The sequence below is a fragment of the Homo sapiens genome, chromosome 5 (genome assembly GCF_000001405.40).
Source record: "Homo sapiens chromosome 5, GRCh38.p14 Primary Assembly".
In the NCBI taxonomy this organism is placed as follows: Eukaryota; Metazoa; Chordata; class Mammalia; order Primates; family Hominidae; genus Homo; species Homo sapiens.
The window spans coordinates 19,039,634-19,053,944 of NC_000005.10; the positions used below are offsets into that span (position 1 = coordinate 19,039,634).

At 35.1% G+C, this 14,311-nt stretch overlaps 1 pseudogene, besides 3 other annotated features; it reads left to right on the forward strand.

Annotated features, from left to right (window-relative positions):
• Window positions 1,403-1,735, forward strand: RPL32P14 (ribosomal protein L32 pseudogene 14; annotated as a pseudogene).
• Window positions 7,707-8,001: an enhancer, noted in NCBI's record as "tiled region #1435; HepG2 Activating non-DNase unmatched - State 24:Quies, and K562 Activating DNase unmatched - State 11:FaireW". NCBI's record gives its function as "activates a minimal TATA promoter and a strong SV40 promoter by Sharpr-MPRA in HepG2 and K562 cells {active_cell/tissue: HepG2 | K562}" and the evidence as "EXISTENCE:reporter gene assay evidence [ECO:0000049][PMID:27701403]".
• Window positions 7,707-8,310: a biological region, named in NCBI's record as "Sharpr-MPRA regulatory region 1435".
• Window positions 7,744-8,310: an enhancer, noted in NCBI's record as "OCT4-NANOG-H3K27ac hESC enhancer chr5:19047486-19048052 (GRCh37/hg19 assembly coordinates)". NCBI's record gives its function as "activates a minimal SCP1, AML or CMV promoter by ChIP-STARR-seq in naive and primed H9 embryonic stem cells {active_cell/tissue: H9 hESC(naive and primed)}" and the evidence as "EXISTENCE:reporter gene assay evidence [ECO:0000049][PMID:30033119]".

The following is a 14,311-nucleotide window of genomic DNA, read 5'->3' on the forward strand; positions in this document are numbered from 1 at the left end:
AAATTATGACTGTCTTCATGGCAAACATGATTTTAAAATTAACAACAAAATATTTAAAATTAATAAAAATTATATTGGTCAAATAAAAATAAGGCAAATCTACAAAAGTCAATTGCACCACCAACAGATAGAAGACACACAGTATTTAGGAATACAGCTAACAAGAGCTGTTCAGATTTTATGTCATAAAATTATAAAACTTGAATGAAAAAAGTGAAAGAAGACATTCTTTCTATCCAAGAACAGGGAATGTCCTGTTCTTGGATAGAAAACTAAAATCATGTTTAATAATGCTCTAATGACATACAATTTGCTTCTGAGGACAAAGGAGGAGAGAATATTCAACTTCTTCACAAAATCTCGGGTCTTATAGTCTAATTTTAACTGTCAGGAAAATATAATGATGAGCTTCTTCCAAGTGGAAATAAAGAGCAAAAGATTAAAAGTGATGAATAGCTAGAATCCATATTAATGAAGATGTTAGACAAACTTTCGATCTGAGAGCCTAGTCAGCCTTGATTAACTGTGAAGACTCTATTTTGTTTTTAATAAATGTAATAAACTTATAGATACAAATATAAACATAAATATTATTGGGTCTTTAGCAAAAATATTTTATAACAAGCCACTTCTTGAGTTTTTAGTTGAAAAACAATAAAATATTACTGATGTAATATAAAAATACTCAACAGACTCAATTACCTTTATTTTTTTGTCTAAAACATACACTATCACAAAGTATTTCTAAACATTCATATATATATATATTTTAAGCTAAGAATGCAGTACTTAAACATCACAAATTTAACATGGTTAAACCTAGTCTGGTTATTATTTTTAGTTATTCAATTATTTTCACATAGTCTTTTCTTCTTTGGTGTCATATTAGTGGTAAAGCCTGCCTATCACAGTGGTGAGACTTTGGCAATTATTCATCACATACTGAATGCATATTTGTTCATTGATTAATAATGATATTAGATTGGACACTCAAAACATTGAAGTCATGTTGGAATTCATTATTTGATTTCATTTTCTGAGCAAACCAAATATAACATTTATATTTGTTTGTTGTTTAGTTTCACATCTATGACAAGTCACTTATATGTATTTCTTTCTATATACATACAAGAATATATATACAATTATAAATTACTTCTGACATTGCCGACAACTTACTCTCCCTCTGGATATTCATATCCAGATGTCTGTACAAACAGGCATTTAAAACAAGCCAACAAAAAGTAGTTAAAAATATGTAAACAAAGTTAGCATACATTTTAAATTTCAGACCTAAAGAGTGATTGCTTGAAACGTGAGTAGACTTCTTAAAAGTCAATTTCAAGTTTATAACTTGGGCAGAATTGACTAACGAGATGGCACCATGGGATCACTCATGAATTTTAGGATAATCAAAAGGAGGCCCAAGAAGTTAGTCCATCACCAGTCAGTCACTATGTCAAAACTAAGTACTAAGCACTAATAACAGATACAGAGATAGTTAAAAGGCCAGATATTAATGACCAACATTAACTATGGAAACAACAAGAAAACAAAGCAAATGTTGCCCAGTGGCTTTTGGAATTACATGGTACACAATATGAAGGAACTGAAAATGCTGGCCATGGGCAACTAATATGCTACCATTGCTGACATTTCTTCTGGTAACCACAAAGGCATGAGGGGAAGAATTACACCACTAACCATCAGAAGCTCTAACACGGAAGCCAGACAACAAACAAGAGAAAATCAATATTTGGTTTGATTGGCAGACTTTATGTCTGTTAAAGGAAACAGTACTTCTGCTGTCTATGATTTTTTCTTCCTTTTAGTCTTCAGTCTTTTGGCTCTCTTTGAAAACTCCTATAGACTTGTAACTATTCAATAAGATCTTTGGTTTGTAAAGGATCTGAACAGGTCGTTTGCTCCAGTCTCCTAGGTAATAGTGTCCATCTTTCCTCAAATGTTTAGACATTACGATCAGGTCTGGGGGATGAACGAAGGGAAAAACTTAAGATTTGTGTGCAAGCTTTACAAATTTAATAGTCTTGCAAGTCTTCACAAGTAGCTACCTCTAGCTTCAATTTCTTCACTTGTAAAAAGGATATTCACTACACTTTGTTGTTCTTATGGAAGTTAGGTGAAAAAAATGACTAATTCCTCCTTAATAGCTAAGCTAATGTCTCTTAGTATTTGCTTTTATTATCCATTTGATGTTTGTTTCTGATGTAAATATAGAATGAGAATATATACAGATAAATCCCTCTTCAGTTCATTTAAATGATGTCAAATATTCTCTACAGGTAACCTACAAGATATTTTCCCCATCCCAATTTCCTAAGCCAAATTTCCATCCTGTAGGACCATTAACTGTTTGTAGATTGTTTAGATGGTTCATGGACATAGAACCAAGTATAATTTTGATTAATTGTATAGTTACTTTTTGTATATGACACGATACCCATTTTCCAGCTATTTAGAATAGTGAAGCTTTCTTGGCAAATGCACTTAATGTACTTCACTTATGTGTGAATGTGGCAAAAATTATTAATATTGTACCCTTGTAAAAAATTTTGGAAGCATTATACAGTATTTTCTGTCCACTCTCATAGCCTACTCCTATCAAAAATAATTTTCTTGTTGTAATACATAGAGGTTTTGTTAAGATTGCACAACATCTGTGTAATAATCTACCATGTTATAAAATATTTCAAAATCTTAGAGAATCACACTTAGGATCTATTTTTTTTGTCCCCAAAGGGGCCGCAAGCAGAAAGAAAATAGGTCCAGATTTCATTAGAAGTCTATGGTTTTAGCAACTGGAGAGAAAAAATAGCTCTCAGAAATGCGAAGAAAAAAAGTTTAGCACAGTGTCAGCCAAAAGAAGAAAAGGTTAAAGGCAGAGGACATGGTTCTTTTTAACACCTTTTTTTTTTGACTCAACCACTGCAGAAAAATATTCTTTCTGTGCCCACACACCATCAAAAGTTGTCACTGCATTTCTGAATTGAAAGTCTGACAGGCAGTCTTCCCAGCAATAAAGCAAAGTCCTAAGAATTTATATTTATATATTTAATTTTATAATCAATGTGGTAACACACAGCTGTCATAAGTGATTTGATACATTATTTTTTGACATGGTACTTAATATTGCAACTAGAGCTCAAAAGGAAGAGCACTGGATAGGAGCAGAACATTATGTATTCACCATTCACTATAGGTTTTTCATCTGGATTCCTCATACTCTTTTTCCATCTTCCAAAGATTTTTTATATATATATATATGAAATATACATAATATATGTATAAATATTTAAACATTTATATATAACTGTATACATAAATATACATCGAAATATTAATATTTATTTTTATAAATATAAATTTTTACAAATATAAATATATTTTTATAAATATATATTAAATATTTCAATATATTTATTAAAATATATTTGTATATTATATATATTTTATATATTTTTTCAATATATATTTATAGAAATATATACTGAATATATATTTACAGAAATATATATTTATAGAAATATATATTCAATATGTTTATAGAAAATATATATTCAATATGTTTATAGAAAATATATATTTAAATATTTCAATAAATATTTATAAATAAATATATGTATATAGTCTTGTCTGAGTATATTAATTCCTAGTGTTAAACAGCTTCTTTTTAACTTTTTTAGGTGTTACAGTTTTTTTCTCTATTTTTATTGTAGAAGAAATTCTCATACATGGTTGATTTTTTTTCTAACTTGTATGTGACTTTTTTTTTTGACTGATCAGGTATCTATTGTTTTCATTAACTTTTAATTTCCGTCTATTACAAGTAGATGCTGGGGAGGAAAAGCAGCTCTAACCAAACTTTTCTGAGAGGAGAGTATCCTTCTTCTCCTATAATTCGGTTTATATTTTTTCTTTTCCAATTTAGGGCAATATTTAGTCTTTTGATCAATCATATTTTTCCATAATTATGTACATATTTATAAACATTCACATTTTATTTTTTATCAGGATGAATTACATTTATATCAAGCTATATCTCTGTCTGAAAGTTGTTTTTCCACTATAGCTATTTATTCCTTAAAGTTTCTAAGATGAAAGAGTCCTAAAATTATGGTTTTGGTTGCTTAACATGCCTTCTGAGGTATGAAATCTACCATTATATCATTTTATCTGTTAGTTTCTTTCTTCTCGTGTTTCATGTAGCTATTGTTCTTATTAACTTGACCCATGTATTTTGGTGTGGCTTTGGGGAATTTCCTCCTGTTTTCAGGTTATTTATTCTTCTAGATTGGGTTTTTGTCTGCAGTTTGCTTATTACATTTCTTACACTTATGTTTTAGTGTAATCACTACTACCCATTTTTAAATTTAATTTTACTCATGCTCCAACTGTGCTGTGGAGTTCGAACGTTTCCTTTGATATTTTGCTGGTAATTTCTTGACATATCAGAGACCTGTTTATTTCACTAATAAGGTAACATTCTCCTGACATAATACCTATATTTTGTTAGTTTCACATGACATAGCAGTAGATGGATCAGAAATTCCACTGAGACATCTTTCTTATGAACATAAGACTCTAATTCATTTCTGTGTTTTTTTCCCCAATAATTTGGAATTTCTGTAAATCTCCTGTGGAGATATGATCCAGCTTTGAAACTGTCTTACAATTGCTCCTGTATCCCTGGAAACACAAATTCCATCAAAAAGGCTGGCTTGTTAACATGCCTTTCCCACTTGGAAAGACAAAATTGTGTGCAGATTCACGCTGTGAACTTTTATACGGGAAGCAACACAGGAACTCAACAGAAAAACTGAAAGAAACCACTGGCACTTTGAAGGTAGCAGCAGGCAGCAGCTTACACCAAAAGCCAGGCAGAAAATTGTAAGTCTCCAGAGTGTGAAAGGGGGAGACTCTCTCCATGATATACCCTCCCACTGGGAAGCCGGGCAATCCAGGCCATGGAAAAGTGCCTTAACCCTACCTTGAGCTGATTTAGTGAACTGTGGGAAGTATATGAGAAAGGGTGTGGTTAGGATGTGCTTTGCATATACTCCCAGACCTTATCAGAAACGGAGGGAAGCCATTCCTGATCCTCCCTCCTATAAGGGACCTTGTGGGAAGTCTGCCAGCTAACTCAGGCAGCAGTCATAGGTTGAGAGAAGCTCCCAACTAAGATTTGTGATATAATCTTGCATGAGAATGAACCTTCTTGTCCAGAACTGACAGTCAAGTGGGAAGTGTGCTCTAGCCATAGGTGCAGGGGTTGGGCACCCTTAATTCATGGGTAAACTGGGAGAGGAGGGGCCTGAATGCTGCAGTTTTTGTCTCCCTATGAAGGCTTGTGTGGCCTGGGGTGGTTTTGCCTTCTGAGTGCAGGCAGCCTGGAACTCAGCTAGCTGTTGCTACAGAACATTACAGGTGTGAGACTTGCCTTGTCAAGTGCATGGGAGTTGGGTGGAGCTTATTGCCACCTGCTCCTCCTCTCCCTGAATGGAGTCTTTTGTGTAGCAGAGAGTTGTGTTCCTCCCTGGAATTTACCCCAGCGGCCATGGATAACTGCCCTCTGATCCCCACTGGGGCTGCTGCTTGTGCAGTACGGGGAGCCACAGCATGAACTTGACTGACTGACCCCCAACCTGGCTTTGCCCAACCACCCACTCTGGTGGCTTCTCACAACAAACAGGGACTTTAGAGAGCTCCATGGCCCCACTCATTGCCTGAGACACCGAAGTGCTTCCCCTGTGTAACATAAGGCAAGCACGAATCCCACTGCTACTGCTGTGGCTACTGCTCTTTTCCAAGTGCCACCTCATGGCCGGGGGCCAAATGGCACAGCCCACACAGCACCTGCAGGCACAATAACAGTGCTCAGGAAGAAGAAAACTTGTGCAACCTCAGCTATTATCATTGGCTACATCGCCCCAGCTACCCAAGAGGTCTTGAGCCTGTCCACAAGCCCAGTACCTTACAATTACAGCTGGCATTTGAGAAAGCCAGCAAACCAAGGCTCTTTATAACCTTAAAATCGTACAGAGTCTATGTCACTCCCCCTGACACTTCCATCAGAACATGTGCTGGTACCCACTGCTGGGAGATGAGAGGGCAAGTCAGCTTGGTCCAGCTTCACCCAATAACCATCTGGAGCTAAGAACAGAGCCCAAGCCACTGCACACCCTGCAGACCTGTCTATAGCCTGAAACATCAGAGAGCTCCAGTTGGCTAACAAGTGACCAATTCTCCTCAGAATGATCTATTACACCATTTTCACACTGCTGTAAAGAACTATGTAAGACTGGGTAATTTATGAAGGAAAGAGATGTGTGGAATTTTTTTTACAAATTGTTTCTGAAAATTTATGTTGGTTTATAAGGTAATAACATAAAATAAGATGCTCTAAAACTGTGATGTGTGGAGAACACTCCAAATCCACTTCTCTAGTTATTTTGGAATATATAATTAAATTAATGTTGACTAAAGTTGACCTATTATACTACCAAGCAATAGACCTTATAACTTCCAACTGTGTATTTGTACCCACTAACCAACCCCTTTCTTACCTACGTTTTCCAGACTCTAGTATCTATCATTCTACTCTCTACCTCCATGAGATCAATTTTTTTAGCATCCACATGAGTGAGAAGATGTGATATTTGTCTTTTTGTGCCTGGCTTACTTCACTTAACATAGTGTCCTCCACTTCCATCCATGTTGTTGCAAATGACAGAAGTACCTTATTTTTAATGGCTGAATAATATTCTGTCATAGATATATACATATTTTTATTTTTTATGTTCATTTTTATTAATATTAATAAAAATTTGCTTTAGAATTTACAAATATTGTTCTTAACCTCTGGAAAAATTCATGCTTTTTTTAAAGTTTCAAGATAGCATGGAGAAATAAAGATATCAGATAATAAATCCAAATAGTATACAATATTAATAACAGGAAATAAAACTTTGAAATATCACTGAATTTATGTTGTTTATGGTCTGAGTAAAGGCATCTACAGAACTTATTTGTGGGCATATAGTAGTTTCTATTAATAAGATTATAACCAAGAATAAAATTCTCCAAAAAAACGGGGGAGAGACAAGTACTTTATTTGTACTGAGTTATTTGGGTTATATTTCAATGACATTTATAAAATACATACATGGAAAAAGTCACTTTTTAATGGCATCAGCATTCTGTATGTTGGATTAATATTTTATCATTACAAAGGAGAACCCATGAGTAAATCCTTCCAATCTGAAAGTTTCTACCTAGAGCTAAATTTGATCAAGGAACCTATCTAATAGAGATAACTTTGCATTCAATCAATTTATTCTATTAGTCAAATCTGTACATACACACTCATACATGGATGTACACCCAAACATATACACACACTTTTTAGAAATACTTGAAACAGGCCCAGAAGGCAATAATGATAGTGATATAGCTTCGATGAGTGGAGGAACACCAGGGTTCTTTGTCTCCAGTCAAATTGCATAAAACAACATGGACACATGTGGAGTGGTCTTAAGGAGCAGAGAGTTTAATAGGCAAGGAAGAAGGAAGAAGCTCCCCAAAACAGAGACATAGGGAGAGGGACTCTGAAGCCAAGAGAGGAAAACCCCGAGTGCCGCGGAAACCAGCCAGTTATACTAGGAGGCTGGAGGAGGTGGTGTCTGGTTTGCACAGGGCTCAGGGGATTAGTTTGACCAGGCATGTTATTCCCGGGGAGCCCGTGAAAAACTGGCCCTCCCACACTAGCCTTTTAATATGCAAATGCAGGACGCCATGATGTTCTACACAAGTGGAGATATGTGGGGGCGGCCATGTTGCCAGGAATCTGTGAGGGCAAGGGCAAGAAGAGGGCGGGAATCGCCATGTTTGGGTGGACCCAGTTTTTAATGGCCTGCATTTGCATATCAAAGGTTGCCTGCCTGGCTCTAAGAGCTGGGGGTTTCCTGCTAGACAAGAAACATTTCTGGAGCTGCTTTAAAAGAGACAAAAATCTTTCCAAGGACCCCTTTTCCTCTCTGCCTAAAATAATTTCTTAATAACTCCTAAAACAATAGGACAAATATGACTCAATTCTTGAAAAACATGGTGGCATCATTCTAATAAGCCTCAAGCCAGTCCCTAGCTCCTTTCCTTTGCTCAGACTATCACCCAGCATGTCTATAATGCCCAGTTGCTCCTTTTCCCTTTTCCCGTGGTCAACCTTTAGGATCTGCTTAAAGTCACTTCCATATTATGTCTGTTACTCTGAAACAACACATCCATCCTAACTAGTACGTATTAATTATACAAATAATTTTTACAATTGCTAGCATAAAATCTTCATCATATGTCAGAATATTGGAGAAAAATAAGAAAAATTACCCCTTGAAATAAAACAGAAAAAGACTTATGCTAGTTTTTTTTTAATCTTAGGAGAATTATCACTCTTTATTAAAATTAAATATTTTTTATATTTAAATTAAATTAATTATATGTTCTATTAACATGTCCTCTCATATTTGCAAACTGATAAGCTCATTGAACCATGTCTGTATTGAACATATATATACTAAATAAATAATTTCCTAATAATGTATTTATGTCATAAATTGAAATTGTTTATAGTAATGTAAGGTAAACAACAACAACATATAAGTAAACAGAAATGCTTTCTGCTGTGAATTTATAACAAGTTTATTTATCATTGTACTTCATGCTAGCAGATCAATATATATACTTGTTTCCATAAAATGTACCCACTTGCATAACATGCATTTAGGAAAATGAGAATTTATTATTAATAATTATGAATAGTTTTTAAGTTGCACATAAATATAATACAAATAAAAATATACACATTCAGTAAAACTGGCTCATAATTGCATGATTAATACTAAGTCAATTCAGGGTAAAATGGGTTTCAATCACTGCCTCATAGCATCGTCTTTCCCAGCTTGGGTATTCTGGCTGCTCATGTCTCCCTTAATGTACTCAGTATGTTCTTTGCCTTTAAATGGGACATGGGAACAAATGGCTCATTTGTCTGTCCCTAGTGTAATACTTAAAGGCAATTTTTAAAAAAAAGAATCTTCAAAATTTCCCAGTGTTGAAGTGTTCTGTAAGAAATCTGACAAATGTAGCTGTGAGGTAAGATGCTCTGGATAGGAATTAAGATCAAAGTCACCTACAAAGATGTAAGGTTCAGAGTATGTGAAGAGCTAAGGATTTCTTGACATTCTGCTGCATTTTTATCTGTTTAACGATCTTGACATAGTCATAAATCTATCATTACCATCCCTTGACCTGTCCTAAAAATGAAATATTGCTTTTTATGATGTAAAACGTCAATGTCACTTTTGAATGCCTAAACGGAGCAGAAAAGGAGTCATATGGAACAACCTCTACACAAATTGAAATTCTAGGGTAAATTTTGAAGTATTTCTTTTTTATCTGTTTCATTTTATGTGTCATTTGTGTGTATATAGTAACCTGCAACAAATTATACCAATATGTCACATGTTGAGATAATATAGCAGATGGATAAAAACAATACTGATAAATGTCTATCCTAAACAATTAACATTTACATGATCCTTAAGCTTGACATTTTCAAGTATATTAATATATCTGATCTTAAATTTATAATACTAATGTCAGAAATATCTGTTTTTATTTATCAAAACCCCTATTGCTGGCTACAATAGACTATCTTCTAGCTAATAGGTTTCTCCACAGAAGTTTTATATTCACTGATTATTTCTTTTAAAAAAGCTATTATGCTGTCATAACATTTTTTCATAGTATTGCTTCTACACTGACAGAGAGGTCAAAAGCAACCTACAATGAAATGCTTTATGTATGAAAATTGTGCTTAAGGACAAACAACACGGATAATTTGACAGGTTTTTATGCAAATATATTTATAGTACAGTATTAATCCAATAACATAATGAAGAATTATTTGTCTTAGGCATTAAAGTGACTATTTTATCAATAAATTCAATTGTGCATTTTATTTATGAATGTGCAAAATTTGGCCTGCTTTTGTACAGCAAGGTCACCAATTATCATTTTTGATGTGTGTGTGTGTGCGTGTGTGTGAATGTGCACATATACTTGTATGAGTGTGTGTATTGTCTTTTCCTATGCATTTCTAAAGATCTAGTGGTTCAAGAATAAGAAAATTAATACCATATAATCAGTAATACATAACAATATTAACTATCAACTTTTATAGTCATATGAATGAACATAACTATATCTGTATATATAATGATCAAGAATGATATCATGCTTTAGATGGCTGTAACACTTATTTTGCTGTTGACACTCATCTGAGCCATAAATGGGTTCATTTCAGCAAGTCCTTTCCCTCATTCTTCTTCACACAATCCATATTGCCAAACTAATGCCATCTGATATCATGTGATAATATAGCAATGTTAGTGAGAAATAAGATATCCATCTTTGCAGCAACTAAAAATGCAGTAAAAAAATTACCCTTAGAATAATATAATAGAAAATATTGTAAATTTTAAGTAAATTTTAACTTTTATAAAATTATTTTTTCTACTATCAAGATAATTATCAATGTAATTCTTTTCATTTTGATAGTTAAAACTGAATTTCTCTGAAATCAAAAGCAGTTTGTCTGTCACATCTAAAACTATGAGAATGGTGCCTGACACTGTTTTAACAAGCCCTCTGGGGATTCAGATTAACGGCAAAGGTAGAAAACCGCTTCTTTATAATATTATCTTTTCTATTGGAAATTGACAAAACATAGTTGTATATATTTATGGGGAATAAAGTGAGTTTATGATTTCTGAATACATTGTGGAATAATCAAATCAAGCTAATTAACATATCAATTACCACAATTAGTTATCTTCTTTTGTGTTGAGAATATATGAAACTTACTCTTAGAAATATACAACAGACTATTATTAACTATATTCACCACACTATGCAAAGAATTCAAAAAAATACTATTTTTGTCTGACTGAGGCTGTGTACCCTTTGACCATTATCTCCCCATTCCTCCCAACTTTCTAGCCTCTAGGAACCACCATTCTACTCTGTTGCTATGTAAGTCAGAACATGTGGCATTTGTTTATTTTTGTGCCTGGCTTATAAAGAAGACATATAAATGGCCGACGGATATATGAAAAAATTATCAATATCTCTAATCATTAGGAAAATGCAAATTAAAACCACAATGAGCTATCATCTCATACCTATCAGAATGCTATTGTCAAAAAGATGAAAGATAGCAAATGTTGGCCAGGATGTAGAGAAAAGGGAACGCTTGTACACAGTTGATGGGAATGTAAATTAGCATAGCTATTATTGAAAACAGTGTACAGATTCCTCAAAAAACTAAAAATAGGATTACCGTATGATCCACAAAATTTACTAAAAAAAGATTTTAAATCAGCATTGTGAAGAGATACCCGAAATTCCGTGGTCATTGGAGCACTATTCACAATAGCCAAGTAATGGAATCAACTTGTGTCCAACAACAGATGAATAGATACAGAAAATGTGGCATTTGTACACAATGGTGGAGTACTATTCAACCTTTAAAAATTGCATCATTTCGACATGATTGTATATCTAGAAAACCCCATTGTCTCAGCCCAAAATCTCCTTAAGCTGATAAGCAACTTCAGCAAAGTCTCAGGATACAAAATCAATGTACAAAAATCACAAGCATTCTTATACACCAATAACAGACAAACAGAAAGCCAAATCATGAGTGAACTCCCATTCACAATTGCTTCAAAGAGAATAAAATACCTAGGAATCCAACTTACAAGGGATGTGAAGCACCTCTTCAAGGAGAACTACAAACCACTGCTCAATGAAATAAAAGAGGATACAAACAAATGGAAGAACATTCCATGCTCATGGGTAGGAAGAATCAATATCATGAAAATGGCCATACTGCCCAAGGTAATTTATAGATTCAATGCCATCCCCATCAAGCTACCAATGACTTTCTTCACAGAATTGGAAAAAACTACTTTAAAGTTCATATGGAACCAAAAAAGAGCCCACATTGCCAAGTCAATCCTAAGCCAAAAGAACAAAGCTGGAGGCATCACACTACCTGACTTCAAACTATACTACAAGGCTACAGTAACCAAAACAGCATGGTACTGGTACCAAAACAGAGATATAGATCAATGGAACAGAAGAGAGCCCTCAGAAATAATGCCGCATATCTACGACCATCTGATCTTTGACAAACCTGAGAAAAACAAGCAATGGGGAAAGGATTCCCTATTTAATAAATGGTGCTGGGAAAACTGGCTAGCCATATGTAGAAAGCTGAAACTGGATCCCTTCCTTACACCTTATACAAAAATCAATTCAAGATGGATTAAAGACTTAAATGTTAGACCTAAAACCATAAAAACCCTAGAAGAAAACCTAGGCATTACCATTCAGGACATAGGCACGGGCAAGGACTTCATGTCTAAAACACCAAAAGCAATGGCAACAAAAGCCAAAATTGACAAATGGGATATAATTAAACTAAAGAGCTTCTGCACAGCAAAGGAAACTACCATCAGAGTGAACAGGCAACCCACAAAATGGGAGAAAATTTTTGCAACCTACTCATCTGACAAAGGGCTAATATCCAGAATCTACAATGAACTCAAACAAATTTACAAGAAAAAAACAAGCAACCCCATCAAAAAGTGGGCGAAGGACATGAACAGACACTTCTCAAAAGAAGACATTTATGCAGCCAAAAAACACATGAAAAAATGCTCACCATCACTGGCCATCAGAGAAATGCAAATCAAAACCACAATGAGATATCATCTCACACCAGTTAGAATGGCAATCATTAAAAAGTCAGGAAACAACAGGTGCTGGAGAGGATGTGGAGAAATAGGAACACTTTTACACTGTTGGTGGGACTGTAAACTAGTTCAACCACTGTGGAAGTCAGTGTGGCGATTCCTCAGGGATCTAGAACTAGAAATACCATTTGACTCAGCCGTCCCATTACTGGGTATATACCCAAAGGACTATAAATCATGCTGCTATAAAGACACATGCACATGTATGTTTATTGCGGCACTATTCACAATACCAAAGACTTGGAACCAACCCAAAAGTCCAACAATGATAGACTGGATTAAGAAAGTGTGGCACATATACACCATGGAATACTATGCAGCCATAAAAAATGGTGAGTTCATGTCCTTTGTAGGGACATGGATGAAATTGGAAATCATCATTCTCAGTAAACTATTGCAAAAACAAAAAACCAAACACCGCGTATTCTCACTCATATGTGGGAATTGAACAATGAGAACACATGGACACAGGAAGGGGAACATCACACTCTGGGGACTGTTGTGGGGTGGGGGGAGGGGGGAGGGATAGCATTAGGAGATATACCTAATGCTAGATGACGAGTTAGTGGGTGCAGCGCACCAGCATGTCACATGTATACATATGTAACTAACTGCACATTGTGCCCACGTACCCTAAAACTTAAAGTATAATAATAAAAAGAAAAAAAATTGAGTCATTTGCACAACATGGAAAGAATATGACATTTTCTTGATTTAGGCTCTCTACAAAGGAGCTATCAAAGTGTGGGCCATGAACTGTCAGGATCAGCATCAACCCGAGCTTGTTAAAATTACATTTTCTCAGACCACCCTTCAGACCTACTGAATCTGAATCTCTGGGAGTGTGGCTTAGGGATCTCTAAAAATTTCCCCAGCTGATCCTTGTTCTCTTAAGGCAGACCCTGGGATATGGGTCAAGGTGCAAGTGACTTTTTGTGGACGTTTTGCTAGGAAAAATCAAGAAGGGAATGGAAAGACAGAATAGGGAAGTGGAACACTCAAGGCAAGAGCACAGTTTCAGGTAAAATCTTAGCCTCAGCCTTATCCTAGGAAGACTTCTGGAGTTCGAAATATGCTTTACTGTTAGGCTGTCTAGGCTTTCTTACAAGGTAACACTCTGCACTCCTGCCTGGGCGCTCTCTGCTCTCTATGAGTTCTTGGTGAAACAGCTACAGAATCCCAGGAGCAGCCTTCTGAAGAAGGATGTGGGATGAAGCTGCTGGAAATAACATGCTCAGAGCTTCAGGTATGAGTGTGCAGGTCTGAGTGTACCAAGGGGTACCATGGTGGAGAAAAAGGTGCACTAAGCTTGGAACGGTAGAAATCCTCAGTGTGCTTATTGTTTGCCTTTTAATATTGAATAAAGTGTGCATTTGTTTGTCTGAGTCTGAGCTCCAGTTTTATACCTCTAACATTGG